General features: G+C 54.3%; 4 protein-coding genes across 35 annotated transcripts, besides 8 other annotated features; 1 reads left to right on the top strand and 3 right to left on the bottom strand.

Annotated features, from left to right (window-relative positions):
- Positions 1 to 1,594: 1,594 nt before the first annotated feature.
- PROSER3 (proline and serine rich 3) lies at positions 1,595 to 14,585 on the bottom strand. 29 transcript variants are annotated; one of them, NM_001395458.1, is made up of 12 exons: positions 14,535 to 14,585; positions 13,291 to 13,387; positions 12,770 to 12,972; positions 10,615 to 10,742; positions 10,405 to 10,508; positions 7,825 to 7,907; positions 7,585 to 7,727; positions 5,806 to 5,993; positions 4,696 to 5,689; positions 4,525 to 4,606; positions 4,192 to 4,357; positions 1,595 to 3,996 (listed from the first exon to the last, which is right to left on the bottom strand). In NM_001395458.1, the coding sequence occupies exons 1-11, from the start codon at positions 14,543 to 14,545 to the stop codon at positions 4,216 to 4,218; spliced, it is 2,175 nt and encodes a 724-aa protein (NP_001382387.1). In that variant the 5' UTR covers positions 14,546 to 14,585; the 3' UTR covers positions 1,595 to 3,996; positions 4,192 to 4,215. The 29 variants fall into 29 exon arrangements, with proteins under 29 accessions (NP_001382387.1, XP_047294219.1, NP_001382382.1 ...); XM_047438263.1 differs by lacking the exon at positions 4,192 to 4,357 and having other exon boundaries at positions 1,595 to 4,162; positions 4,696 to 5,710; positions 13,291 to 13,435; NM_001395453.1 differs by having other exon boundaries at positions 1,595 to 4,357; positions 7,585 to 7,694; positions 13,291 to 13,435.
- Positions 4,858 to 5,709: an enhancer, noted in NCBI's record as "H3K27ac-H3K4me1 hESC enhancer chr19:36257953-36258804 (GRCh37/hg19 assembly coordinates)". NCBI's record gives its function as "activates a minimal SCP1, AML or CMV promoter by ChIP-STARR-seq in naive H9 embryonic stem cells {active_cell/tissue: H9 hESC(naive)}" and the evidence as "EXISTENCE:reporter gene assay evidence [ECO:0000049][PMID:30033119]".
- Positions 14,241 to 14,300: an enhancer, noted in NCBI's record as "active region_14501". NCBI's record gives its function as "activates an Ori minimal core promoter by ATAC-STARR-seq in GM12878 lymphoblastoid cells {active_cell/tissue: GM12878}" and the evidence as "EXISTENCE:reporter gene assay evidence [ECO:0000049][PMID:35858748]".
- Positions 14,341 to 14,580: an enhancer, noted in NCBI's record as "active region_14500". NCBI's record gives its function as "activates an Ori minimal core promoter by ATAC-STARR-seq in GM12878 lymphoblastoid cells {active_cell/tissue: GM12878}" and the evidence as "EXISTENCE:reporter gene assay evidence [ECO:0000049][PMID:35858748]".
- Positions 14,909 to 15,480: an enhancer, noted in NCBI's record as "NANOG-H3K27ac-H3K4me1 hESC enhancer chr19:36248182-36248753 (GRCh37/hg19 assembly coordinates)". NCBI's record gives its function as "activates a minimal SCP1, AML or CMV promoter by ChIP-STARR-seq in primed H9 embryonic stem cells {active_cell/tissue: H9 hESC(primed)}" and the evidence as "EXISTENCE:reporter gene assay evidence [ECO:0000049][PMID:30033119]".
- On the top strand, positions 15,732 to 18,195 carry HSPB6 (heat shock protein family B (small) member 6). The gene is made up of 3 exons (NM_144617.3): positions 15,732 to 15,950; positions 16,867 to 16,989; positions 17,078 to 18,195. The coding sequence occupies exons 1-3, from the start codon at positions 15,753 to 15,755 to the stop codon at positions 17,237 to 17,239; spliced, it is 483 nt and encodes a 160-aa protein (NP_653218.1). The 5' UTR covers positions 15,732 to 15,752; the 3' UTR covers positions 17,240 to 18,195.
- Positions 18,242 to 24,185, bottom strand: LIN37 (lin-37 DREAM MuvB core complex component). Of its 3 annotated transcripts, none has more exons than NM_019104.3 (9): positions 24,003 to 24,185; positions 20,510 to 20,585; positions 20,277 to 20,327; positions 19,928 to 19,957; positions 19,762 to 19,847; positions 19,508 to 19,674; positions 18,604 to 18,744; positions 18,442 to 18,515; positions 18,242 to 18,368 (listed from the first exon to the last, which is right to left on the bottom strand). In NM_019104.3, the coding sequence occupies exons 1-9, from the start codon at positions 24,034 to 24,036 to the stop codon at positions 18,287 to 18,289; spliced, it is 741 nt and encodes a 246-aa protein (NP_061977.1). In that variant the 5' UTR covers positions 24,037 to 24,185; the 3' UTR covers positions 18,242 to 18,286. The 3 variants fall into 3 exon arrangements, 2 of the variants coding, with proteins under 2 accessions (NP_061977.1, NP_001356709.1); NM_001369780.1 differs by lacking the exon at positions 24,003 to 24,185 and adding an exon at positions 23,751 to 23,947; NR_163146.1 differs by lacking the exon at positions 19,508 to 19,674.
- Positions 23,902 to 24,416: an enhancer, noted in NCBI's record as "OCT4-NANOG-H3K27ac-H3K4me1 hESC enhancer chr19:36239246-36239760 (GRCh37/hg19 assembly coordinates)". NCBI's record gives its function as "activates a minimal SCP1, AML or CMV promoter by ChIP-STARR-seq in naive and primed H9 embryonic stem cells {active_cell/tissue: H9 hESC(naive and primed)}" and the evidence as "EXISTENCE:reporter gene assay evidence [ECO:0000049][PMID:30033119]".
- Positions 23,936 to 24,055: an enhancer, noted in NCBI's record as "active region_14499". NCBI's record gives its function as "activates an Ori minimal core promoter by ATAC-STARR-seq in GM12878 lymphoblastoid cells {active_cell/tissue: GM12878}" and the evidence as "EXISTENCE:reporter gene assay evidence [ECO:0000049][PMID:35858748]".
- Positions 24,417 to 24,931: an enhancer, noted in NCBI's record as "OCT4-NANOG-H3K27ac-H3K4me1 hESC enhancer chr19:36238731-36239245 (GRCh37/hg19 assembly coordinates)". NCBI's record gives its function as "activates a minimal SCP1, AML or CMV promoter by ChIP-STARR-seq in primed H9 embryonic stem cells {active_cell/tissue: H9 hESC(primed)}" and the evidence as "EXISTENCE:reporter gene assay evidence [ECO:0000049][PMID:30033119]".
- Positions 24,456 to 24,515: an enhancer, noted in NCBI's record as "active region_14498". NCBI's record gives its function as "activates an Ori minimal core promoter by ATAC-STARR-seq in GM12878 lymphoblastoid cells {active_cell/tissue: GM12878}" and the evidence as "EXISTENCE:reporter gene assay evidence [ECO:0000049][PMID:35858748]".
- On the bottom strand, positions 25,242 to 27,110 carry PSENEN (presenilin enhancer, gamma-secretase subunit). Of its 2 annotated transcripts, none has more exons than NM_172341.4 (4): positions 27,061 to 27,110; positions 26,770 to 26,926; positions 26,238 to 26,342; positions 25,242 to 26,053 (listed from the first exon to the last, which is right to left on the bottom strand). In NM_172341.4, exons 2-4 carry the CDS (start codon positions 26,828 to 26,830, stop codon positions 25,914 to 25,916), a joined length of 306 nt encoding a protein of 101 aa, NP_758844.1. In that variant the 5' UTR covers positions 26,831 to 26,926; positions 27,061 to 27,110; the 3' UTR covers positions 25,242 to 25,913. The 2 variants fall into 2 exon arrangements, with proteins under 2 accessions (NP_758844.1, NP_001268461.1); NM_001281532.3 differs by having other exon boundaries at positions 26,770 to 26,888.

Below are 27,185 nucleotides of genomic sequence, written 5' to 3'. Positions count from 1 at the left end.
TAACTTCCTCAGGAATGCTTCTAGACCCCACCCGTGACCCAGCTAGATCAGGTTCTGCTACTATAGTATCTTTTATTTCTCCTTATATCTAAACAGCTATTTTTCTTGTCAATTACATTTTTTTGTTAGTTTGTTTGTTTTTGAGATGGAGTCTCACTCTGTTGCCCAGGCTGAAGTGCAGTGGCACCATCTCAACTCACTGCAGCCTCCGCCTCCCATGTTCAAGCAATTCTCCTGCCTCAGCCTCCTGAGCACCTGGGACTACAGGCACCCGCCACCAGGCCCAGCTAATTTTTAGTGGAGACAGAGTTTCACTATATTGCCCAGGCTGGTCTCTAACTCGTGACCTCAAGTGATCTGCTCGCCTTGGCCTCCCAAAGTGCTGAGATTACAGGCCTGTGCCACTGTGCCCACTCTGATTTCATTTAAATGTATGGTTTGCTTAGAAAGGTTAGAAACAGGCCGGGTGCGGTGCCTCACACCTGTAATCCCAGCACTTTGGGAGGCCGGGGCAGGTGGATCATGAGGTCAGGAGTTCGAGACCAGCCAGACCAACATGGTGAAACCCTGTCTCTACTAAAAACACACACACACACACAAATTAGCCAGGTGAGGTGGCATGCACCTATAATCTCAACTACTCGGAAAGCTGAGGAAGGAGAATCACTTGAACCTGGAAGGCAGAGGTTACAGTGAGCCGAGGTTGCACCACTACACTCCAGCCTGGGTGACAGAGCAAGACTCCATCTCAAAAAAAAAAAAAAAAAAAAAGAAAGAAAGAAAGGTTGAAAACAAATATTATATTTACCATGTGACATACAGAAGTTACTAGAAATCCATCTTATCCCTCCATTTTGTAAATGCAGATATCAAAACAACCCCAATCATATATTCTCCATCATTTTATTATGAAAAGTTTCTTTTCTGAGACGGAGTCTCGCTCTGTCACCCAGGCTGGAGTGCAGTGGCGCAATCTCGGCTCACTGCAAGCTCTGCCTCCCAGGTTCAAGTGATTCTCCTGCCTCAGCCTTCCGAGTAGCTGGGGCTACAGGCGCCCGCCACCACGCCCGGCTAATTTTTTGTATTTTTAGTAGAGACGGGGTTTCACCGTGTTAGCCAGGATGGTCTCGATCTCCTGACCTCGTGATCCGCCCGCCTTGGCCTCCCAAAGTGCTGGGATTACAGGCATGAGTCACCGCGCCCGGCCATGAAAAGTTTCTAAATTACAGCAAAGTTGAAAAATTTTACAGTGGACACCCGCATATCCGCCACTTAGATCCTACCATGAACACTTTGCTGTATTTGCTTTATCTCACATCTACCTATTACACTATTTATCCATCAATCCAACTCATCTCTGGATGCATTTCAAAATAAATTGTCGACATTGGTTTATTGTTCCCTAAATATTTCAGTGTACATACTTTTTTTTTTCTTTTCTTTTTTTTAAAGACAGGGTCTAGCTCTGTAGCCCAGGCTGGAGTGCAGTGGCATGATCTTAGTTCACTACAATACAGCCTTGAACTCCTGGGCTCAAGTAAACCTCCTGCCTCAGCGCCCCTCCCCGCCCCTAGTAATGGGACTGCAAATCGTGTGCCACCACATCTGGCTATTTATTTACTTATTTATTTTTGTAGAGACAGGTCTTGCTGTGTTGCCCAGGGTAGTCTCAAACTCCTGGCCTCAAGTGATCCTCCCGCCTTGGCCTCCCAAAGAAGTCAGATTACAGGCGTATCTTTAACTGGCGTTCAATATTTTCTTTTGAGGTAAACTTTACATACAATGAAATTCACACACTTCACTAAGTTTCATAAGTGCATACACCTGTGTAACCCAAACCCCTCCCCAGCATGGCAACTAGTTTTTTTTTTTAATGTAGCCTCTAAAGCAAGTGTCAGAGAGAGAGAGAAAGAGAGAGAAATTATCTTTTTTTTTTTTTCCACTGCAACCTCTGCCTTCTGAGTTCAAGCAATTCTCTTGCCTCAGCCTCCTGAGTAGCTGGGATTACAGGCACCCACCACCAATGCCTGGCCAATTTTTGTATTTTTAGTAGAGACATTTCACCATGTTGGCCAGGCTGGTCTTGAACCCCTGACCTCAAGTAATCTGCCCACCTGAGCCTCCCAAAGTGCTGGGATTACAGGCGTGAGCCACCATGCCCAGCTGAGAAATCATCTTTTCTAACTGCACTTTAGAAGTTAAGCTGCATCACTTCCTCTGCATTTTATTTGTTGAGGGGCCCAGTTTCAAGATGAAGGGACATAGACTCTGCCTCTTGATGGCAAGTGTGTCAAAGAATATCAGGTTTATAAAAACCGTTAAGTTTTCCAACAGTCCAGAGAGGAGGTGATGACAGCCTAGATTGAGGTGTGAGCAGTAGAAGGGGAGAAGCAGTTGAATTCTGGATAGATTTTAAAGGTGGAGGCCAGGTGCGGTGGCTCACATCTGTAATCCTAGCACTTTGGGAGGCTGAGGTGGGTGGGACACCTGAGGTTAGGAGTTCGAGACCAGCCTGGCCAACATGGTGAAACCTCGTCTCTACTAAAAATACAAAAAATTGCCAGGCATGATGGCTCATGCCTGTAATCCCAGCGCTTTGGGAGGCTGAGGCAGGAGGATCACGAGGTCATGAGTTTGAGACCAGCCTGGCCAATATGGTGAAACCCCGTCTCTACTAAAAATACAAAAATTAGCCAGGCGTGGTGGCACACGCCTGTAGTCCCAGCTACTAGGGAGGCTGAGGCAGAAGAATAGCTTGAACCTGCAAGGCAGAGGTTGCAGTGAGCCGAGATCGTGCCACTGCCCTCCAGCCTGGGGGACAGAGCAAGACTCTGTCTCAAAACAAACAAACAAACAAAGAAAATTAGCTGGGCGTGGTGGCAGGTGCCTGTAATCCCAGCTACTCAGAAGGCTGAGGCAGGAGAATCGCTTGAACCCGGGAGGTGGAGGTTGCCGTGAGCCGAGATCATGCCATTGTACTACAGCCTGGGCAACAAGGGTGAAACTCCATCTCAAAAAATAAAATAAAATAAAGGCGGAGATGGCAGGATTTCCTGGTTAACTGTGGGTGGAAGGGAAAGACAGAAGTCAAAGACAACTCTAAGGTTTTTGGTCTGAGCGGCAAAGGACAGAGCCGAAGAAAGTTGGGGAGGGGGGGCCCAGCACGGTGGCTCACGCCTGCAATCCCAGCACTTTGGGAGGCCGAGGCGGGTGGATCACGAGGTCAGGAGACCAAGACCATCCTGGCTAACACAGTGAAACCCCGTCTCTACTAAAAATACAAAAAAAATTAGCCGACCGTGGTGGCGGGCACCTGTAGTCCCAGCTACTCGGGAGGCTGAGGCAGGAGAATGGCGTGAACCCGGGAGGCGAAGCTTGCAGTGAGCCGAGATCACACTATGGCACTCCAGCCTGGGTGACAGAGCTAGACTCCATCCAAAAAAAAAAAAAAAAAGAAGCTGGGGAGAGGCACGCCTAGGGGGAAAGATTGGAAACTCCATTTAGGACCTATGGAATTTGAGATGTCTTTTAAACCCTTGGGTAGAAATGGTAATGAGGTAGGAGCCCAAGGTTTCGTGGCCAGGTCTAGGTTACAGACAGAAATTTGAGGATTATCAGAATAGAGACGGGGTTTAGAGTCATTAAGCTAGACAAGAGCACCTATGGGTGGGTGCAGATAGAGATGTCAACGCCATGGCCCTGGGTCATGCCAAAGTTGACATGCTGGGCTAGTGACTAGGCCTGACCAGAGAGGTGCAGAGAGAAGGGCTGGAAGCAGGGAGAGAAAGTGCTTCAAGGAGGGAGGGGTCAGCTGCACCAGATGCTGCTGCTGCTCAAGCATGTGTGGGCTATAGCCTGACCATCATCCAACACTCTGATGACCCTAGTAGCTTCCTCCGTGGAGGGCAGTCCTTTGGTCCATTTGAGCCAGGGCTCCTGAGTGAAGCCAGATAAGGTGGGTCCCAGTCTTGCCAGAAGTCTTGTCTGAAACTCCCTCTGCCCCAAGGAAGATATAACCAGAAAGGAGATCTTGTTTCCGTGGTCAGGAAGGGGTGGGGGGCAGGGCAGAGCCATGGGGCAGCGGAGGATGGGGGGCATTTCCTTAAATTGGCATGACCCCTTGGCCTTTCCAAACAACCCCTTTCTCACAGATAACCAGTAACTGTATGAAAAAAAAAAAAAGAGCCTCACTGGGTAAAATAGAATCTGTACAATTCAAAGTCTTCTGGCCTCCAGGGAATCTCCTTCCCTTCTTAGCAGCCTCCTTGGGGACCTAGGGGGCGACCCGGCTGGAGGGGACCAAGATCCCAGGTCTTCAGCCTGGTCCAACAGGAACGATAATCGGGCATCCGCTTCCCTGGAGAAAGGCCGGGAGAGCAGAGGCTGGGGTATGTGCTCAGGCTTAGAATCTGGGGCTGTGGACGGACTGCTGGGACAGGGGATGAGGAGGGCTGGATGCCTAACCGGGTCTCAGAGGTCTCCGGGGCCCAGTGTCATAGACTCTGGGGATGGAGGGTCGGTCACCTTTTCTGCCGACTCAGCTCTGCCCTATGGGCTCTTAGCACCTGCAGCACGGGATCGTCCTGGAACTCGCTGCCGTCGGAGTCTGGGCCGGGGAGAAAAGAATGAGCTCCAAGGGGCCGGCCTCTTAGGGGGCTGGCCTGCCTCCAACATCCAGGAGGGCGCGGGCATCACCTTCTGCAGCCTGCAGCAGCAGGGCGGCCTGGGCAAGCAGGGCCTCCGAGGGGGCGTGGTCAGCAGCGGGCGGGGGCGGGGCCAGGGCCTCCGGAGACCCCACCTGGAAGGCTGGCGGCGAGGCCTTGACTGTGGTTGCCTGCTCAGCTGGAGAGAGTGGGACCTCGGGCTGCAGGCAGGCTCCAGGGGAAGGAGTGGCTTCGCTCTTCCGTATCACTGACCCCGCTGCGGGCGGCAAGGCCTTGGCTTTCAGAGACTCGGCCTTGGCCCGACACTGGGATTCAGATGGAGGGGGAGTGACCTTGGTTTGGGGTTGTGTGGCCTGGACTTTCGGAGATCCAGCCTTGGGTGGAGGGGGGCCCTCGAAGTGAGGAGGCGTGTCCTCCAGGCTGTCAGGGAACAGCCGAGCTGCCACTACCTGGCCCAGGACACCCCTGAGCTGAGGGCCAGGTCCCTGGCCAGCTGCAGGGACTTGCTCGGCAGCCTCTGGGCGAGGGGCTCTGCTCCTCCGAGACTTGGGCCCCAGGCTCTTAGGCTGGGCACAGCTGCTTGGGTCAGGGATGGGCAGGCCCTGGGGGACAGCTGGGGATGCGAGGGTGGAGGCTGGAGGTGCAGGGGTACAGGCCAGGGGAGCCGGGGTGGAGGCTGGGGGTGCAAGGGTGGAGGCCAGGGGAGCTGGGGTGGAGGCCGGGGGTTCGAGGGTGGAGGCCAGGGAAGCCGGGGGCGCGAGGGTAGAGCCCAGATGTGCTAGGGTGGAGGCCTGCTGCGTGGGAGGAACAGCCCCAAGGGATACCCAAGGCCCAGACTGTGGGGCCCAGAAGAACCCGTGGGAGCTGGGGGCCCAAAAGATGTGTGGAGAGGACACTGAGGGAAAAGGAGGCCTCTCCACATAGAAGGCCTCTGGTGGACCAGGCTGGGCCACACTGCTCCACAGTGGGACATGGTTAGGCTGGGTCCCCAGAGAACTGAGGGTCTCCACTGGAGCAGGAGAGGTCTGTAGACAGATAAGAGAGATCTGAGACAGAGAGAGAGAGGGTGGAGGGTCCTCAGTCCCCCTCAGACCCAGCCCCTCCTCCAGCTCCCCCCAGGCTCCTCCCTCCCTCGGCTCACCAACGTGCGGAGGGCAGGGGTCAGAGGCGGCACCCAAGCTCTGTCACCCTTGCTTCCCTGAGCCTGTTCAAGCTTCCGCCGCTGCCGCCACTGGTACAGAATGTCATCCTCTGGCCGAAGGGGTGCTTGGGAGGAGGCTGGGGCTGGAGCAGGGGTGGGGGTCTGGGCCTGGGCTGGTGCCGGGGATGCTGTAGGGGGAGGTAGAGAGGAGAGGGTGAGGCAGGGGCCAGGGAGATCAGCAACCCCAGGACAGCCTGCACACACGCCCTCCAACTGTGCAGGGGGTTACTCAGACAGGCTCTCCAGATACTGTCCCAGCTCCTCTCTGGGGTGGGAAGAGGGGAAGGGGTCAAAGTCAGGGGAGCGAGCACTCCTGGTCTTCTCCATCTGTCATCATTCAAGTCTTTGTTCATTATATATATATAGTCTTGTTCTGTCACCCAGGCTGGAGGGCAGTGGTGCGATCACTGCAGTCTCGACCTCCTGGGCTCAGGCGATCCTCCTGCCTTAACCTCCTGAGTAGCTGGGACAAAAGGCGTGTGCCACCACACGGGGGTAATTTTTATTTTTTTGTAGAGACAGGGTCTTGCTTTGTTGCCCAAGCTGGTCTCAAACTCCTGGGCTCAAGCCATCATCATCCCACCTGGGCCTCCCAAAGTGCTGGGATTATAGGCGTGAGTCACAGTGCCTGGTTTCATTCAACAAATATTTATTGAGCCGTTCTGGACACTGGAGTTACAGCAGTGACCAGAAGACATATTCCCCAGAATCTACCCACTCCCCCACCCGCTACAGCCCTCACCCTGCTCCAGCCCCACTCACCCAACCTGGACTCTTAAATAGCCTCCCTGGTCTCTCTACTCTCCTCCAAATCTGTTCCCTACTCTCAGCCAGAGGGAGCCTGTGAATACCTGAGTCAGACCAGGCCTCTCGTACTTAAGAACCCTCCCTTGGCTGCACCTCTCTCCCGGTAAAAGGCGAAGGCTTTGCCTTTTACACCTGTCGTTCCCTCTGCCTGGAATGCTCTTCCTTCATGTATCGCACGGTGCATTCTCTCACATCCATCAGATCTTGGTCACCTTCCCTGGCTTCCCTATTCAAAACTGCAACAACCAGCTGGGCATAACGAATGGCCCATTCTTATAACCCTAGTGCTTTGGGAAGCGAAGGCGGTGGGGGGATCGCTTGAGCCCAGGAGTTTGAGATCAGCCTGAGCAACATAGTGAGACCCTCATCTCAACAAATAAAAAAATAAAAACAATTAGCTGGGCATAGTGGTGCATGCCTGTAGTCCCAGCTACTCAGGAGGCTGAGGTTATAGGATTGCTTGAGCCCAGCAATTGGACTATGATGGCACCATTTATTTATTTATTTTTGAGATGGAGTCTCTCTCTGTCGCCCAAGCTGGAGTGCAATGGCGCAATCTCGGCTCACTGCAACCTCCGCCTCCCAGGTTCAAGTGATTCTCCTGCCTCAGCCTACTGAGTAGCTAAGACTACAGGCATGCACCACTATGCACCATTATGTACCACGCGTGGCTAATTTTTGTATTTTTAGTAGATACCGGGTTTCGCCACATTGGCCAGGCTGGTCTCAAACTCCTGAGCTCAGGCAATCTGCCCGCCTCGGCCTCCATGCCTGACCCACCTCATCTGGCCTTATCCCTGTTTTACAGCTGGAGAAACAAGGCCCAGAGAGGCCCAAAGTCCCATAGCTGGTCAGTGGCAGAGTTGGGATTTGCACCCAGGCTGCCCTCAGTCTTTGCCTCTCAGCCCTTACCGGGTGCCCTGGGGCCAAGGCCCTTGCTGGAGTCAGGGATGAAGGTCTCCGAGAAGGGAGAGAGGCCATCAGAGCTGGTGGGGAATGAGGAAGTGCTGGCATCGCTGGGGCTGAGGGAGGAGGAGGAGGAGATGGAGGCTTTGCTGCAGGGAGAAGGCAGGAGTGAGGCAATGGAGGTCTCGAGACCTGGGCCACGTGGAGCCGCAGTAGGAAGGGTGATGGGGGCAGGGGTGCGGGCACCTGCGTTTGAGCAGCCTGGCAGCTCTGCTCTGTAGGCTCAGCGTCTCCAGGTCCAGCAGGGATGAGTTCCATGTGTGGAGGTTCTGCAGGGTGACAGGGTCAGACGCCAGCCCCAACCCAAAGGCTGCTGGGAAGGGGGTTCTAAACAGAGGGCCTGGAATGCAGGTTGTACTGCCCTTGGTAACCTCACATGCCAGCTTAGGATCTGCTCCTCCTCCTCAGGGAGGAGAGACCCAGTTTTCCCCTTTGGATTAGCACCTTTTTTTTTTTCTTTTTTTTTTTGAGATTGAATTTCACTTGTTGCCCAGGCTGGAGTGCAATGGCACGATCTCGGCTCACAGCAACCTCCATCTCCTGGGTTCAAGCAATTCTCCTGCCTCAGCCTCCCAAGTACCTGGGATTACAGGCATGCGCCACCACGCTCGGCTAATTTTGTATTTTTAGTAGAGACAGGGCTTCTCCATGTTGGTCAGGCTGGTCTCAAACTCGCGACCTCAGGTGATCCGCCCACCTCAGTCTCCTAAAGTGCTGGGATTACAGGCGTGAGCCACCGCGCCCGGTGGATTAGCACCTTTCATGGACAAATCATGGTTGGAGGAGGATGGATCCCACCTCCCAGATCAGAGCTGCTTCATCAGAGCATTCTATCCTCTGGTTCACAGTGGTTGGCTCAAGGATGAGTGAATCACAGTGAGCCCTGGGGCTTCTGATGGAGCAATTCGAAAAGCCCCCACTTCCCACTGGAGTCACTGAGCCAGGACCATGGGAGCCTAGAGACCCCAAGGACCATCCTGGCTATTGTGAGGGGAAAGCCCGCCTGGGACTGAGCCCAAAAAAAGAGAAGCACAGAGGCGGGCGTGGTGGCTCACGCCTGCAATCCCAGCACTTTAGGAGGCCGAGGCAGGAAGATTGCTTGAGCCCAGGACTTCGAGACCAGCCTCGACAACAAAGTAAGATCCCATCTCTACAAAAAAACCAAAAAATTAGCTGGGCATGGTGGCGCATGCTGTAGTCCCAGGTACTCAGGAGGCGAAGGTTGCAAAGAGTTCAAGGCTGCAGTGAGCCATGATTGTGCCACTGCACTCCAGCCTAAGAGTAAGACCCTATCTAATTAAAAAAAAAAAAAAAGAAGGCCGGGCGCGGTGGCTCATGCCTGTAATCCTAGCACTTTGGGAGGCCGAGGTGGGTGGATCACAAGGTCAGGAGATGGAGACCATCCTGGCTAACATGGTGAAACCCCATCTCTACTAAAAATACAAAAAAAAATTAGCCGGGCGTGGTGGCAGGCACCTGTAGTCCCAGCTACTCGGGAGGCTGAGGCAGGAGAATGGCGTGAACCTGGGAGGCGGGGTTTGCAGTGAGCCGAGATCGCGCCACTGCACTCCAGCCTGGATGACAGCACAAGACTCCGTCTCAAAAAAAAAAAAAAAAGGCCGGGCTTGGTGGTTCACGCCTATAATCCTAGCACTTTGGGAGGCTGAGGTGGGCGGATTGCCGGAGGTCAGGAGTTCGAGACAAGCCTGGGCAACACGGTGAAATCCCATCTCTACTAAAAAAATACAAAAAAATTAGCTGGGTGTGGTGGCATGCACCTGTAGTCCCAGCTACTCAGGAGGCTGAGGCAGAAGAATTGCTTGACCCCGAGAGGCGGAGGTTGCAGTGAGCTGAGATGGCGCCACTGTACCCCAGCCTGGGTGACAGAGCAAGACTCTGTATCAAAAAAAAAAGGGGGGGCATGGAGCCCAGAGAGAGTTGGGTCTCTCCCAACATTATTCAAACACCTGGATCCAGGCATATCTGGAAACATCTACTTTTGGATTTCTCAATTACATTAGCCAGCAAATCCTCCTTTTCTGTTTTAGCTTCCTTGAAATGGGGATCAGCTCTAATTCTTTTTTTTTTTTTTTTGAGATGGAGTCTTGCTGTCGCCAGGCTGGAGTGCGCTGGCGCTATCTTGGCTCACTGCAACCTCCGTCTCCCGGGTTCAAGCAATTCTCCTGCCTCAGGCTCCTGAGTAGCTGGGATTACAGGTGTGTACCACCACGCCCGGCTAATTTTTGTATTTTTAGTAGAGACGGGGTTTCACCATGTTGGTCAGGCTGGTCCTGAACTCCTGACCTCGTGATCTGCCTGCCTCAGCCTACCAAAGTGCTGGGATTATAGGCATGAGCCACGGTGCCCAGGCTTTTTTTTTTTTTTTTTTTTTAAATAGAGACAGGGTCTTGCTCTACTGCCCAGGCTGGAGTGCAGTGGCATGATCATAGCTCACAGCAGCCTTGAACTCCTAGGCTCAAGCCATCCTCCAGCCTCAGGCTCTCAAGTAGCTGGGATTACAGGTACATACCACCACACCTGGTTCTCTCTCTCTCTCTCTTTTTTTTTTTTTTTTTAGTAGAGGCAGAATCTCACCATGTCACCCAAGCTGGTCTTGAACTCCTGGCCTCAAGCAGTCCTCTCACCTTGGCCTCCCAAAGTGCTGGGATTACAGGTGTGAGCCACTGCTCCTGATCTTCTAATTCTGTCCTAGGGCTGGTGTTGTCAGTTCAGGCACCCAAGGGAGGGAGTGAATGGGGATGTCACCTGCTTTATTTCCTGAAGGGGAGCCACAGCATGGGATGCACTGGTCACGTTGACCGCAGTAGGGACAGCTGTATGGGGTCTTCCTTCTGGTTTGTTGGCTCCTGCTGAGAAGCCCCAGTTGAGGTATGAGGGCCAGGAGGAGTGGCTGCTGGGGGCATTGATCAGCAAAGGTTTAGGGGTGGGAGTAGTGGATGGCACTGAAAGAGGTACCTGCTGCACTTTGACTGCTGGGGTCTGGAGAGTCAGACTGCAGCCACCAAAAGTCAGCTGGGGTTGGGCCTGCAGGCTGGCGCTCCTCTCGACTGGTGGGCTGAGCCTGGCGGAACCTGTTTATATACCTGTGAACATCAGGGGATAGGAGGTGAGTGGAGTGAGGAGAGCCAAATAATAATAAGAATAATTATAGCAGCCAACGTTTACCAAGCACCATGGCAGAGCCTGGTAGCTATCCCTCAATATCTGCTTTTCTTTCTTATATAGTCACATAACTGTTTTTGAGACAGGGTCTCGCTCTGTCACCCAGGCTGGAGGGCAGTGGTGCAATCATAGCTCACTGCAGCCCCCAACTCCTGGGCTCAAGAAATCCTCTCTCCTCAGCCTCCTGGGTAGCTGGGACACAGGTGCATGCCACCACACTCGGCTACTTTTTGTATTTTTATTTATTTATTTATTTGTAATTAATTAGTTTATTTTTTGAGACGGAGTTTTGCTCTTGTTGCCCAGGTTAGAGTGCAATGGCGTGATCTTGGCTCACTGCAACCTCTGCCTCCTGGTTCAAGTGATTCTTCTGCCTCAGCCTCCCAAGTCACTGGGATTACAGGCATGCACCACCACGCCCGGCTAATTTGGTAGAGACGGAGTTTCACCATGTTGGTCAGGCTGGTCTCAAACTCCTGATCTCAGGTGATCCACCCACTTTGGCCTCCCAAAGTGCTGGAATTACAGGCGTGAGCCACTGCAGCCCTGCCAATTTTTGTATTTTTAGTAGAAACGGGGTCTTGCCATGTTGCCCAGGCTGGTCAGGAACTCCTGGGCTTAAGGGATCCTGCCACTTTGGCTTCCCAAAGTGCTGGGATTACAGGAATGAGTCACTGTGCCCAGCCAGGAATGTAACTTTTAGCTGGGCACACAGCCAGTCTCCTATGGACTATATTTACCAGGTACCCTTGTAGCCTTGTGACCACGTGACTAAGTTCTTGACAAACAGGGTATGAAATGTGATTTTGGAAAGCTGATGTGGTTGAAAGCCATTTTGCACCATGAAGGAAAGGGCAACGGCCTAGAGTTCGGACAGCAACAAGACAGAAGTAACCTGTGTCCCTGACACCTCAACTACGGGTTGCCACATCATCCCTGGTGGCTTCTGCCTGGACTGCAGGTGAGGGAGGAATAAATTCTATCTTGTTTCAGCCATAATTAATTTGGGACTCTTTGTTACAGCAGCTGAACCTGTATTCTACAAATCTAAGTGGTGACTATGTGAGAAGCACTGCTAGAGATCATTATATATAGTAACTCACTGAAAGCTCAAAACAGCCCTAGGGGATGTGTACTATTAATATGCCCAATTTAGGCCTGGCAGTGGCTCACACCTGTAATCCCAGAACTTTGGGAGGCTGAGGCAGGTGGATCACCTGAGGTCAGGAGTTTGAGACCAGCCTGGCCAACATGGTGAAACCCCATCTCTACTAAAAATACACAAAATTAACCAGGTGTGGTGGTGGGCACCTGTAATCCCAGCTACTTGGGAGGCTGAGGCAGGAGAATCACTTGAACCCAGAAGGGAGAGGTTGCAGTAAGCCGAGATCATGCCACTGCATTCCAACTTGGGCAACAAGAGTGAAACTCCATCAAAAAAACAAAAACAAAAACAAAACAAAACAAAACACCCAATTTAGAGATAAATAAACTGAGGCTGGGCATGGTACGTCTGGCCTGTAATCACAGCACTTTTTGGAGGCCAAGGTGGGAGGTTTGCTGGGTGTGGTGGCATGCATCGTAATCCCAGCAACTCAGGAGGCTGAGGTGGGAGGACGGCTTGAGCCCAGGAGTTTGAGGTTATAGTGAGCTGTGATTGTACCACTGACCTCCAGCCTGAGTAACAGAGCGAGACCCTGTCTCTAAACAAATAAATAAATAAATAAAAAGAGATAAAGAAACTGAGGCCAAGATCATACAGAGAGTTAAATGACAGAGCTGGGATTTGAACTCAGGCAGTCTAGCACCAGAGTTCTTAACACACATAAACTGCCTGGTCCTAAAAGAGTGCTGCAGAAACAGCTCTGGCCATGATGATTATTACTGCATGCCTTCTCCCTCCCTCTAACCCAAAGCCTCTTTTTCCCCCAGGGCTGCTGGTACTTACTTGGCCACCACGGAGTCCCCGCTGTCAATCAGGGTGGGTGCTGGGGAGGCCCACATCTGTCCCTCAGTGGTGCTGGGCAGGGAGGGGGTCCCTGAACTGGATGGCCAGGACTCCTCAAACAGCTCAGGGGAGTTGGGACCTGTGGCTAGAGCCTTGGGAGCTTGTGGGAGCCTGGATCTCTGAGACCTGGATGGGCTCAGGGTCTAAGATCAGGGAAGAGCACAAGAAGAAAAAGTGTGAGGTCTCATGGGTCATCCCTGCAGGGGAACCAGGACACACACAAAGTCTCAGTCCAGAGGGGAGGAAACACATCCTGTAATGATAACAACCTAGTGTGATGGGGGCTCAGATGGGGAATCCAGGTGGTAGAGAGGGGGACAAGGGCAGGGCCGTGGGGAGGGGACAAGGGGCTGTCTCTTAAATCTCTCATCCCTATCTCTCATCACATGTCTTCCTACCCTCTAAAGGTCATTCTCTTGCTACTGGGCTGGCACTCAGCACTCTTTGAGGGGTGTCCTCACCTTGGGACACCAGGTCTGGCTCTGGGATGGCCAGTAGTGGCTTCGACCCAGGGGCGCATCTCCAAAGGGACTATCTTGAATGGAGAAAACTGGCAGGCTGCAAGAGGAAAGTGGGGTTCAGGCAGCACGTGGTTTCGCCGCAGCCCTGGGGAGGGGGACATTAGAGGAGGGCAGAACCAGACAATTCCCATAGATTCCTGGAGGAGACGGACTGTCATTTCCATGAAGCACCGTTGCACATTCAGGATATCGACAGTGGAAGGGTGAGTCCTGGGAGCCCGCCCCTGGAGCAGTCTTAACAGGGAGCAACTCAGGAACTGACAGCCGGTGGTTCTCAACCCTGGATCCAGTCTAGGAGGGGCTTTTCAACGTTACAGGCGCGCGGTTCCCATTCCAGACCAACAGAATCAGAATATCTATTAGTGGGGCTGGGCCTCCGTGTCTTTTCCGCAGCGTCCCAGGTGATTGCGAAGTGGAGTTCAGGTTAAGAATCGCGGCTCGCCGGGCGTGGTGGCTCACGCCTGTAATCCCAGCACTTTGGGATTACACCGAGGCGGGTGGATCACTTGAGGTCAGGTGTTCGAGACCAGCCTTACTAACATGGCGAAACCCCGTCTCTACTAAAAATATAAAAAATTAGCCAGGCGCGGTGGCAGGTGCCTGTAGTCCCAGCTACCTGGGAGGCTGAGGCATGAGAATTGCTTTAACCCGGGGGCAGAGGTTGCAGTAGCCAAGATTGTGCCACTGCACTCCAGTCTGGGCCAACAGAGCGAGAGACTCTGTCTTAAAAAAAAAGAAAGAAAGAAAGAACCGCGGCTGGATTATATCACCGAGCATTTCCCATACATTCCTGGGGGACACGAAGGCAAAGGGTAGATGGACTACAAGCCCCAGGATCCACTGGGCTCCGCCTCCGCGAGAAAGTTCAAAGACAACGCCCAGGCGTGTCTGGGGGCCATTTCAAAATGAAGAAATTCAGATCTCAAGCCTTTCTTGGACACCTTTAGAGGCAATAATTCCTTGGGGCCCACTCAGAGAGGAACATAAGACTCTTAGGGGACCCCCGGGATGCTAACGGCTACGGCTGGAGAGGCCAACGGCTGTGGAGCATGTTGGGAATTGTAGTTCCAGTGCGGTGGAGCCCTAGCGACTCCAGACCGTATCCAGCCCGTCCTAGGCTGTGCTGCTCTCGCCGTTGGTCCTCCCCAGCCTCCTGTAGTCCCTGGAAGAGCGATCGGCCTCACCTGCGGTCCATCCCGCGGCTCCCTCCGCGCTTCCGGCCGCTCTGCTCCTTCACCCAACAGGCCCCGCGCGCATCTCCGTCGCTTAGCAACGCCCTATCAGCCCCGCCCCTCTCTGTGCCCGCGCCGGAGGCGAGCGGCCTCCAAGGCGACCAATGAAAGAGAGGAAACAGAAGTACCCGGAGGGAGGTGTTTCAGGATTGGCTGGGACGACTGCCTGCCCGACAGGGCGTGTTTGATTGGAGAACCTGCCGAGTGTAGCAGTAATTGGCAAGACCGTGCACCAATGGGAAGGATCTGAGGCTGGGCTTGCGGTTAGGAGGTGATCTAAAGTACCCTCGCTTAAAAGTCCCGCTTTTTAAGCGCCTTCTTGCTGCAGAAGTCCTGTCCCGACCCCGGTCTAACTACCATTCTTTCTGTTGCAGGGGCAGTGGGGCGGGTTGGGGGGGGGGCGCGCTCTGCCCTCTCTCTAACCGCTATTCCTCCATCAGTTGGGCCAATCAGTCCGTCCCAACGGTCATCTAACTTCTTTCTTGCTGCAGGAGCAGCTGGTTGCATCAGTTGCCAGGTCTGGGCTCCTGGCCGAGGTAGCGGGATCAAAATGAGCTATTTCCAGCCCCAGCGCGCGGCCCCCGGGGGGCCAGCCTGAACTGTTCATGCTCGCGCCCCCTGGCCTCTGCGCACCAGAGGCTGAGTCAGAGGCACAGAATTAGGCCCGGCCTGCCGGGGGACTGGGCCCAAGGTCTGGCTGAGGATAAGGGTAGGGAGGGCCTGTTCTATGTCCTCCTGACATCCTGGCGGGGCTACCGCATTCTCCAGGAATCTGCTCCTAAAGACCTCCATCTGCGTCATCCTCAGAGCTGCCAGGGGGGAGGCAGTGGATTAAAGGGACTGGAAACTCTTCCGTGGGCCTCTTGGGTCCTGGGCCCCAATCACCACGCTGTGCTCCCCACACCCGCAAGGCTCCCCCTCCTCAGCCTTAGTTTCCTCTTCTGGAAATTGGGGAATCTTCATGTCACCTTCTTGACAGCATTTGCCAGGCATCCAGCAGGCGCTTAATAAATGGCCAAGTCATTGTTTGGGTTTCTAAATAAGGCTCTCCTAATGGCCGGGTCTGGCCACGGTCCCAGTGTCCCTGGGCAGCCCTCCGAGGGGCCGGCACAGGGCGCACTATAAATGAGCGGCTGCGCACGCAGGGGCACTGCAACGCGGAGGAGCAGGATGGAGATCCCTGTGCCTGTGCAGCCGTCTTGGCTGCGCCGCGCCTCGGCCCCGTTGCCCGGACTTTCGGCGCCCGGACGCCTCTTTGACCAGCGCTTCGGCGAGGGGCTGCTGGAGGCCGAGCTGGCTGCGCTCTGCCCCACCACGCTCGCCCCCTACTACCTGCGCGCACCCAGCGTGGCGCTGCCCGTCGCCCAGGTGCCAGGCCTGGGGAGGGGTGAACTCGACCACTTCCATTGCCAGGGGTCTGGGGCAGCCTGGGGTGGGAACATGTGAGAGAATGTTCGTTGGCCTTGGGCGGGGTGGAGAGTCCGCAGCTCCGAAGGGCTTCCGGAGTCAATGGGAATCTGAGGCCCGCACACTGCAGCGGGTGGGAGGTCCCCGTCGCTCTTAGGTGGGGGGCGGGGTGGGGGGCTCTCAGCTCTCCAGAGAATGGAAGGCCTGGGTCACTCTAAGGGGAGTCTTGCTTACTCTGAAGGAGGCTGGTGATCCGGGAAATCTGGGGAAAAGGAGGCGGGCAGTGACTCCTGAGGGGAAGGAATGTTCTTAGTCTCGGGGAAGAGTTGAGAGACTGTGTGCGGTGGCCCGATATCTCCAGAAGAGGAGGGGAGAGGGCCCTGCGACTTGAGGAAGGGTTCCCGGCCACTCTGAAGTGGGGGAAGGCTACCAGTAGCTGCCGAGGTCCCGTGACTCGAGTGGGAGAGTAGGCAGAGGACCCTGGAGACGGGGAAAGGGGCATCTTGGCGAGTTTGGCGGGGCTGGCGGAGAAGGGACCCGGGGCTCTGAGGAGGGAGCTGGGGAATCAGTGCCCTGGGGGGCACGATGACTTCGGATTCGCTGACACCGGGGGAGGGCAGAGGTTCCTGACCTTGCAGGGGAAGGGAGCCTCATCACTGCGGGGGAGAGGGCAATCCCAGATATTACAGGGGGAGGGCGTATCCCTGTTGTTCAGGGTGAAGAGGTCCTGGGTGACTCCCAGTAGGAGAGCTGACTGCTCAACTCCGGAGGCCAGAGTGAGCCGCGGCACGGAACCGACGGGGGTGGGGTCTCCCTGGGTGGGTCCTGGAGCCTGGCCCAGCCCAATGACAGTCCCGCCCGCGCCCGCTGCGCTCAGGTGCCGACGGACCCCGGCCACTTTTCGGTGCTGCTAGACGTGAAGCACTTCTCGCCGGAGGAAATTGCTGTCAAGGTGGTGGGCGAACACGTGGAGGTGCACGCGCGCCACGAGGAGCGCCCGGTGAGCCGCGGCGTGGGGCGGGGCTGGAGCGGGTACGCTCGCCGCCGGGCCGGAGGGGCGGGGCCGCTCAAGCCTCCCTCCCCTCCAGGATGAGCACGGATTCGTCGCGCGCGAGTTCCACCGTCGCTACCGCCTGCCGCCTGGCGTGGATCCGGCTGCCGTGACGTCCGCGCTGTCCCCCGAGGGCGTCCTGTCCATCCAGGCCGCACCAGCGTCGGCCCAGGCCCCACCGCCAGCCGCAGCCAAGTAGGAGGGGGCTGGGCCGCGCCCGCACCCCGGGAGCCTCCTCAGGCTCCCTCTATTAAAGCCGATCTGACTCCGCCCAGCCAGATGTCCCGAGTGCGCCAAGGACTGTCCTCTCACCCACTCCTGGATTCTGCCCTGACCTCCATCCTGGACACTGCCTTGATAACATAGACCCTTCCACTGACACCCTCGCTCTCACACCCCCTCCAGCTTTCCGACCCCACACCGACAACTCCCCGGCTTCCAGACCCTACCAGCACTACCCTAACCCTCAGCCGACAGTCTCAGCCCCACCGACCCACTTTCTTGGCATATAGCCCCACTTAAGACCCCTCCTCTACTTCCTTCTGAGTCCTCTACAAAGACATCCGGGTACTACATTTCCATCCCTTCCCTATTTTGACACCAAATTATGGTGTAGACAGCCCTCCCCCAACCCCAGGCCAGTCAGGCACAATCCCCCCACCCCCCAAACGTCCTGGACTGCACAGACCTCCCACTCCAGACCATCCAGGCCTGGTTCCCAAGACCCGATCCTTCCCCTGCAACCAGACAGTCTACAACTGCCCCCTCCAGCCCATTTTCTGCCGTGAAACCCCAGCCAGCCACACCAGACTCTGGAACCCTTTTTCGACTGCCCCAACTCTTGGACACCAGGCCAACTAGAACACCCAACACCAAACTGTACAGACTCTCCCACCCCAACCTCCCCAGACTCTGCACGGATGTCCTAGGCCCCCTCCCCAACTCTAACCAGACCCCATCCCCCTAAGTCCCTTTGTCTTGACCCCCAAGTCTTCAACCAGATATCCTCGGCAACCCACCTCCCACCCTCCTCCTCTTCTCCTTCAAGACCCAACTGAGCACCCGCTCTGATTCCCCACAGCCTTTCTCCCTGCCACCACTCCCTTAGTCTTTCCCAGGCTTACTCTCCCAATAAATGTGCTAGAGCTCTGCCAACTGCTTTGTGCCTGGGCCAGGAAGGAGGGACCGGAGCAGACACCAGTGTGGAGCTGGGGGATGTTTACTGGTGTGGGGGGACCTGGGAACATCACTGTCGTTCGTACATCTCTCGTAGGATCTTCATGCTTTCTGAGTAACGAAGCTGGTTCCGATGAGAGGCCTCCTTCCACCTGGGGAGGCAGAGGGGAGACTCAGCAGTTGCAAAGGGCCCTACGAGGGGCAAGCAGGCTGGGGGACGCTCACCTCTGGCGGATGCGTTTCCAGCGCTGCATGTTGCGATAGATGAGTGTGGAGGGTGAGGGCTCGGGCTCAGAGGGCTGCATGGACAGACAGGCCAGGTTGAGTGGCCATTCCTGAGCCCTACCGCATGTGCCCCATAACCCTGGGCCAGCCTGGCATACTCACCTCATCGTCAGGGGTGCCCTGCATCTCAGGCTGCAGTGGAGATGGGATGCGGGATCTGCAGGCATCTCCGGGTGGCCCCGGGGGTGTGGGTGGCGGCAGCTTGTACACATCACGACTCTTGCTGTTGGTTACCTCTGAGCCCTGGGGACACAAGGGCCCCATGCCAGGCCCAAGAGAGTCAAAGCAGAGGGGCTGGGAATCCACATTCATCCCTCCTGCCTTTCCCAGCAACAAATGGCATGAGGGGCTCGCTAAGGGACTCAGACAGGAGGCATGTATGAAGGGCAGACACCTCAACCAGCCAGCGGGTCAAGTGTGCCTGCCCCAGGGACCCCTGTCTTCTCCTATCCAGCCCAGAGACTCCATCTACACCTGTCAGCCCAGGGAGTCGCGTCTGCCTGCCTCAGGGAATCCTGTCTAGGGGGTCACGTCTGTGCCACCTAGGAAGCTCTGTCCATTTCTGACAGTCCTATATGTCTGAAGGGTCCTATATGTCTGTCCTGGGGACCCTTGTCTACCCCGCTGGGTCAGATGGCTTATAGACTCCCATCCATTCCTGCCCAGCCCCTGCTCCTCAAGGCCTGGTGGCCACTTCTGTCTGTACTAAGGACCCTTGTCTAGCCCCTCGGCTCTTGGGAACCCCTGATCTTGGAGGTCCACATCTAACTGTCCAGGGTAACCCTGTTCCCTGTCTCCCAGGCCAGGTGGTTACGTATGTCTTCCCTAGGGACTCTGATCCACACCCCAACCTAAGAGTGCACATCTGTGTGCCTAGCCTGATCCAGGATTCACGTGAGGGACCTGTGTCTGTCTATCCCACTAGCTTAGGGGCAGGATCCTTTGAGCCTATCCACCCACTGCCCTGGCACCAGGCTGCTGGGCTGGGACCCACTACCCATCCCACCTCCTCATCCTCAGGCAGCGGGGGCAGGGGTGAGCTGGGAGAGCATTCACGCTCGCGCACAGAGGGGCTGTTGCGCATCCAGGCGCGGCAGATTGGGTACAGTGGCGTGTTCTCGCTGAACTGGGCCAAGTCCACGCTCCGGTCGAACAGCTTGATCACATATGTGTCTGGGAAGGTGGGGATGGGAGGTGTGTGAGCATCCTTGCATAGGCCCTTGGCTCCTTACCGACCCTCTAGGGCCACTGTCTACTCACTGGATCGCTGCGGCCCTCCCTCAGCCAGCCCATCATCCATCTCCCTCCTCTTCTTCCTCCGCTGGTGGGGGAAGCGGGCAGATGGCCTGCGTAGGGAGAGGGAGTGTCAGGACTGGGGTAGGAGCTGGGAGCCTCTAGTCAGCTGGCTGGGACCCTGCCACCTTACCTTTTGCCAGTGGCTGCGATGGAGCAGTCCCTGTGGGGAAAGACAGTTGACCCTCAGACAAACGCCTGTGCAAAACCCTGCAGAGGGCACCCTGGGGATACTGGTATCAAACCTGAGATGCTCACATGAACCCCACTTGCCTCTTGGGCCTTTTGTCCCACCCATACCCATGGGGGTCTAGGTGGCAACCACGGGGGGACCTAAGCTTCTCCTGCCACAGGGTCTTTGTACAGGTGGAGTGGTCCGGGCCACGATGGAGGTAGCGCTGGGCTGAGCGGTCAGGGCTTGGATAAGGAAAGAAGTTACCAACCACGAACTCTCAACTCCAAATCCAATCAGAAAAACTCACTTATTGTGGGTGTCTGAGGGTGTTTTCCCAGCTTCCTCATCCAGACGCTCCCTAGAGGCAGAAGAGATCTCTCAGCTCAGGGTTCCAGGGCCCCAGAGAAGGAAGGCACCGAGCAGCCTCCCCATTAAGCACCTTCCTCCCCAAGTCAGCCTGTGGGGTCCCACCCAATCCACCCAGGATCAGAGGGCCCAACCCACCAGGGTGCCCGGCCCTGTGACCCCACGCTGGCCTACCTGTCCATGTGACTCTTCTCCAGCAGACACTGCAAGACAGCATCCAGTTGGTTCCGGGCTTTGGCCATCTCCAGCTCTGGGGCAAGAGAGGACCCAGCAGGAGTCAGCTCCCAGGCCCCAGCTAGGTGGGCAGCTGACTGGGCCAGGGAAGGGCGTGCGTGTCCTCTGCCCTGGCCAATCTCAGAGCCAGGCCCAGGCAGCCTGAAAGGGTGCAACAGGCAGAGATGGCTGGAGTGATGCCCAGAGCTCTGAGTTCCAGAGCTGTCCCACGTGATTGCTCTGTGACAGGAGGTAAGGCCAATCACCTTACCTTATGAGCCTTTTGGGTTTTAAAAAAATGTGTTTTAATATAATATAAATTTATTACAAAAAAATTGTATAGAGATGGAGTCTTAATGATATTGACCAAGCTGGTCTTGAACTCCTAGATTCAGGTGAGCCATCTCGGCTTCCCAAAGTGCTGGGATTACAGGTGTGAGCCACTGTGCCTGTCCCAGTGGCAAGGTTTAAATATGCTATATATTACAAATAATAACCCACTGAATTATCACAATAACCCTTAGAGGTAGATGTGATTTTTTTTTTTCTTGAAAAAGGATATCACGATGTTGTCCGGTTTTGAACTCCTGGGCTCAAGCGGTCCTGCTGTCTCAGCCTCCCAAGTAGCTGGGGCTATAGGCACATGCCATAGAGCCCAGCTCAGATAGATATGATTTTTATTCCTATTTTAAAGATGATGAAACTGAGGCACAGAGATGTTAGGCCACGTGCTCAAAGGCACACAGCAAAGAAATTGCAGAGCTGATGATTTGAACCCAGGCTGTCTGGTTCCAAAGCTGAAGTTATGAGACAGAGGCTCAACCTGAGTGCAGAATCTGGTTGAGGCAGTGGTATAATTTTATTTTAATTAATTAATGTATTTCTGTTTTGTGAGACGGAGTCTTGCTCTGTCACCCAGGCTGGAATGCAGTGGCATAATCTTGGCTCACTGCAACCTCCACCTCCCAGGTTCAAGTGATTCTCCTGCCTCAGCCTCCCAAATAGCTGGGATTACAGGCGCCCGCCACCACGCCTGGCTAATTTTTGTATTTTTAGTAGAGATGGGGTCTTACCACGTTGACCAGGCTGGTCTCAAACTCCTGACCTCAGTGATCTGCTGGCCTCAGGCTCCCAAAGTGCTTACAGGCGTGAGCCACCATGCCCGGCCAACAGTGGTATAATTTTAAATCTGAATTCAATCTGAATGAGCTGACATTTAAAAATTGGGAGATTTCTTTCTTTTCTTTTTTTTGAGACGGAGTCTTGCTCTGTCTCCCAGGCTGGAGTGCAGTGGCGTGATCTCGGCTCACTGCAACCTCTGCCTCCTGAGTACAAGTGATTCTCCTGCCTCAGCCTCCCAAAGAACTGGGACTACAGGCGCGTGCCACCATGGTCAACTAATTTTTTCTATTTTTAGTACAGACAGGGTTTCACCATATTGACCAGGCTGATCTCAAACTCCTGACCTCATGATCCACCTGCCTCAGCCTCCCAAAGTGCTGGATTACAGGCAGAAGCCACCGCACCCAGCCAAAATTGGGAGATTTCACCTAAAACATCCTGTTTGGGCTTTTTTTTCCCCCTCGGGAAATGAGATCTAGGCCCACCTTCCTGCCCAGTTAGCCTGTGGCTGCCTCCCGTCATCACAGAACTTGAGGAAGTGATGATGTTACGCTGTCCTCCTACCTTTGAGAGGTGTTTGCTCTGCCTTTCTGACTGGTGGGAGCTCTGGCTCTAGTGCTCAGAGCCTGGAGGGGACACCTGGGAACTTGCCTGACCAGTCCAGGGACTTCCTGAGAAGCCCAGGAGACACAGGGATTCAAACATAGCTCAGAGGAGAGACAGAGTGAGGGTGGGGAAGGGAGTAGCTGAGATTGCAGCAAAGCCTTGGGCAGATGCAGAGGGTACGGATCACGTCCACAACTCTCCTCAGGCCCAGCCTCTCTCCTGAACCCCCGACTTGGGCCTGAAGCCTCCCTCTCAAGGGTCGCCTCACTGTCCCCAAGTCCCTCCCTGTACCTCACCATGGATACCCCTCTCCCTCCCCTACCCAGCCCACCAACCCCATGGCCTGTCCACTAGGCCTCCCGAGTGTCTCTCCCACCCACCTCCTCCCTACTCTACCCATCCTGGTCCTGTCCTTTGCTCCCCCTTGGCTCCCTGCCTCAGTGTCCCCCTTCTGATACACCCTCCACAAGGCAGCCAGGGGAATCTTCCTGAAAAATAACAAACCTGACCCTGATCTTCCCTTGCTTGGAAACTTCCATGACTCCACAGCACCCAGGGGTGGAGTCTGCACTCCTCAGCCTGGCACTCACAGGTGTACACCTTCCCTCACCATCATTTGTGGTCACACCCACTTCTCTTTTCTTTCTTTCTTTTCTTTTCCTTTCTTTTTTTTTTTTTTTGAGACAGGGTCTCAATCTATCACCCAGGCTGGAGTGCAGTGGTGTGATCTCAGCTCACTGCAACCTCCGCCTCCCCGGCTCCAGCGATCCTCCTGCCTCAGCCTCCTGAGTAGCTGGGACTACAGGCTTGTGCCACCACACCTGGCTAATTTTTTTTTTTTTTTTGTATTTTTTATAGAGACAGCGTTTCGCTATGTTGCCCAGGCTGGTCTCAAACTCCTGACCTCAAGTGATCTGCCAGCCTCGGCCTCCCAAAGTGTTGGGATTACAGGTGTGAGCCACCGCACCCAGCCTCCCACTTTGTTTTAATAACACTTTTGCCATGGGACATCCTACATCATTTTACTATTATCTTTCTGTCTAAATTCTGCACCCCTCCCACTGCCCTTACCATGCCAGGCCTGGGATCCGGTCAGCTCCGCCCCAACCCAAAATTCTCTCCTCTTTCTAAGCTTCACCCATTGACCACAGTTCCTATTTTCTAGGATTACTGGAATATAGTGACTGTGAGGATTAAGAGTGCCTGTACTTCAGGCTCACAGCAAGATGTGTGACTCTGATCACTGCTGGAAATGGGGAAACTGAGGGGAAGCCAAGAAAAGAGAACTTCTCGGCTGGGCGCGGGGACTCACGCCTGTAATCTCAGCACTTTGGGAGGCTAAGGCGGGAGGATCGCTTGAGACCAGGAGTTCGAGACCAGCCTGGGCAATATAGCGATACTCCGTCTCTATTTAAATATTTTAAAAATTTAAATTAAAAAAAAGAGGAAAGAAAAGGGCCCTTCTCAGAGTTACCGGCTCAGGATTCCCCATGTCCTACCACGCACGTCATTGCCCGAGCCACCCCATTCAATCTCAAAGCGACTTCAAGCGCACACCGGGAGGGTGTGAAGGTGGCAGGCAACGCTCGCTGCCTGATACAGCGATTGTCAGGTGGGCTTCAGGGAAAAGTCGTGCAGTCCCCTTTCCGCGATACTCCCTTCCACCGGGACTCCACACCCTGTCAACCCGATGGTCCCGACAGGCCCCCGACGTCAGGGTCCTCACCTGATTTCTCCACTTTCACCTTCACAGGGAACATGGTTTGGGTCCGGGATCTGGCTAGCTGGGTCAGAGGCGCCCCAAAGGGCCTAGGGTCACAAGTCAAGGCGGGAGAAGGCGGGGACAGTTCAAAGATGAGCTTCGTGGGCCACGGGTCCTCCGCCTTTGGTTGTGTCCAGCCTGGACCGTGGCCACCACCCTTCTGTGGGCGGGCCCCTTCGGCAGTAGCTTGTTCCTATTAGTTATTGCAGCCGTCAATCTCGCATCCTGACCAATTGAGAGCTGCCTCCGTAGTCTCCCAGCTTTAGGTCCCACCCACCTGGGGCTTTGCTTCCGGAAACAAACCATCTACCCCCTAGCTTCCTGGGAGGTGTAGTTCCAGCTTCCCAGACTCACCCTGAGTAACAGCGCCTGCGCCGCGCGGGGCACGGTGGGAAACAAAGGATTAGGGCATCGCGAGGCTTCCCGGGACTTGTAGTGTGAGAAGGGTTGAGCAACACCAAGTTAGCTCTTTACCGGATTTAACCAACCGTTGGGGTCCCTTCATCCCTAAGAGGAAGACTAATGTAAAATAACGTTGGGTTCCCTCTCACTGAGCACTCGCTAGGTGCCAGGTATCTGTTAATCTCTTTGCAGGTACAACTTCATTCATTTTGCAAATATTTATTAGTGTGTCGGGCACTCTTCTAGGCATTGGAGACACCTTGAGGAACAGAATAGACAAAAATCCCTGCGCTAATGGAGCTTATCTTTTAAAGGAGGGAAGATAAACAGTAAACAAGTAAATTTTAAGTGAAATGTAATAGGAGAAAGAATATGATCTGGGCGGGGCATGGTGGCTCACGCCTGTAAATCCCAGCTCTTTGGGAGGCCTAGGCAGGCAGATCACCTGTGACCAGGAGTTCGAGACCAGCCTGGCCAACATGGTGAAACCCAGTCTTTACTAAAAATACAAAAATTAGCCGGGCATGGTGGCATGCGCCTGTAATCCCAGCTATTCGAGAGTTTGAGGCAGGAGAATCGCTTGAACCCGGGAGGCGGAGGTTGCAGTGAGCCGAGATCGGACCTCTGCACTCCAGCCTGGGTGACAGAGCAAGACTCCATCTAGAAAAACAAACAGACAACAACAACAAACCCCTCTCCCCCCCCAAAAAAAAAACCCACAAAAAAAGTGTAGCCTGAAAGGGACATAGGAATATCAAGGTGGTGATTGAATTTTAAATAAGATGGATGGTCAAGGAAGGATTCTCTGAGAAAGCTCTTGACTATTTTTATTTTTGCAGACAACACTTCCTTCAGAAAACGGGAAACTTCCATTTGTCACACGTCTTGGTCCAGATAAATCCCAGGAAGTAGCATCGTGATCTACACTTCTGATGAGAATACTGCAGCCCACAGTAGGAAAGTTATATTTTTGAATTCACGACTACCAGTACAGGATAACAGCCCCTAGAAATGGAAGCACTAGGCCGATCCTACCACTGCACTCCAGCCTGGCTGACAGAGCAAGACTCTGTCTCAAAAAAAAAAAAAAAAAAGAAAAAAGAAAAAGAAATGGAAGCACTATTCCTTTCTTAGTTTCTCATCTAATAGTTTCCTGAGCAGGAAAGTTCCTAGTTCAGAAGATTATGAGTAGTATGCACTGTAAAAAATGTACATCATGTCTAAATACTAAGCCTCGTACAAAGCTCTCAACAGATGTTTTTAAATATTAATAATCATTTATGCCTCAACCTCTAAAAGATCCCAGGAAGTCAGTATCGAAAGTTAGGGTCCTTTATTGGGGGATGTCAGCAGAGAACGTGGGACATGAAAACAAGTCTTAGGAGTTTGAGAAGGGGCTCCCAGGACAGGCTCCTCTGCTTTAAGGAGCCTGTCCTGGGAGAATAAGCAGGGCCCCAGTATGTGCAGAAGTTGTCAGGGGGTGCCCAGGGGTATGGTGAAGGAGAGGTAGTCCCCAAGGGCACCCCAGCGGGGCCGGTAGATCTGGAAGATGGTGATCCAGGAGGTGAGCACTATCACCCAGAAGAGGAAGCCCACAGCTGAGCGCCAGACATCTGTCATGGGAAACAGAAGCTGGAAGGGTTGGCCTCCGGCTGCTCTCCAGACTTCCCTAGACCAGCCTTCCCTTCTCACCCAGAGCCCCAACATTTTGGATCCTCCATTGTCCCTTCCCACCAAGATTCCCCGCTTCCCCCTCTCCCCTGCCACTGGCCTCCCTCCTCTGTGCTCTAGACTCACAGCCTTTGATTTGGCTCTGTTCTGTGTAGGCTGGGACAAGGAAGGCCTCTCGGAAGAACCAGAAGATGTTGACCAACCAGAGAAAAGGCAGGAAAGCAAACCCCCCTAGGGAGAAAGAAAAACAAACAAACAAACCCCAAAACCTCATAAGGCAATGAAGATCTTCTCCAACTCCCACCGAGATCTATTTGGAAGAAACTCTCCCACACCCAAGTTCAAATGGAGATTTCTGTTGTCAGGGACTCAGGAATCTGGCTCCTCTTTGGGATCCAGGAATCTGATTCCTCAACCATCTCTTTCACAGGACCCAAGAGTCCAGGCCCTCAATCCCCCTCCTCTCTTGGGATCCAGAAATTGAGGCCCCAGCTTCCTCATTCCTCAGGACCCAGGCCCTCCCCACTCAAATCCAGGAGTCGGCGTTCGCAGGTCCTTCATCTCTTAGACTTAAGAATCCAGGCCCCGAGGCCCTCTTCCCTCGGGTGCTCTAGTCCAGTCCCCTCTCTTCTCCTGGGACCCTAGCGATCTGCCTTACCCAGGTAGTACTTCCGGCACAGGTTCAATTTCTCCTCATTGGACACTCGCTCCAGGTTCATAGCTGCGCTGGGGCCGGGTCGTCCCAAGGGTCTGCGGGGCAAGACCCAAGCCTTGACCCTAAGTAACAGATGCAAGGATCACGAACAACCACGCCCCTATTAGAACAAATCAGAGATAAATGTAAAGGTCGGTTTGCTGAAAGCAGGGCATCCCCACCCCCACTAGTAAGCTGGCTGGATTAAAGAGCTCTTTATATTTACTAGGGTGGGCGAAACGACCCCCAACTCACCAGGAGAGCTCACTTCCTCCGGCTGGGGTGCCTTAGCTACTTTCAGTTATGGACGTTTGCGCGAGACGCCCCAGGTTTCCCTGGAGATTGTAGTCTTCTTTGGGCGAGGCAACACTGCACGCATG

Source organism: Homo sapiens, chromosome 19, assembly GCF_000001405.40.
Source record: "Homo sapiens chromosome 19, GRCh38.p14 Primary Assembly".
Lineage (NCBI taxonomy): Eukaryota > Metazoa > Chordata > Mammalia > Primates > Hominidae > Homo > Homo sapiens.
The sequence above is the reverse complement of the archived record's forward strand: the minus strand, read 5'-3'. Positions and strand labels throughout refer to the sequence as shown.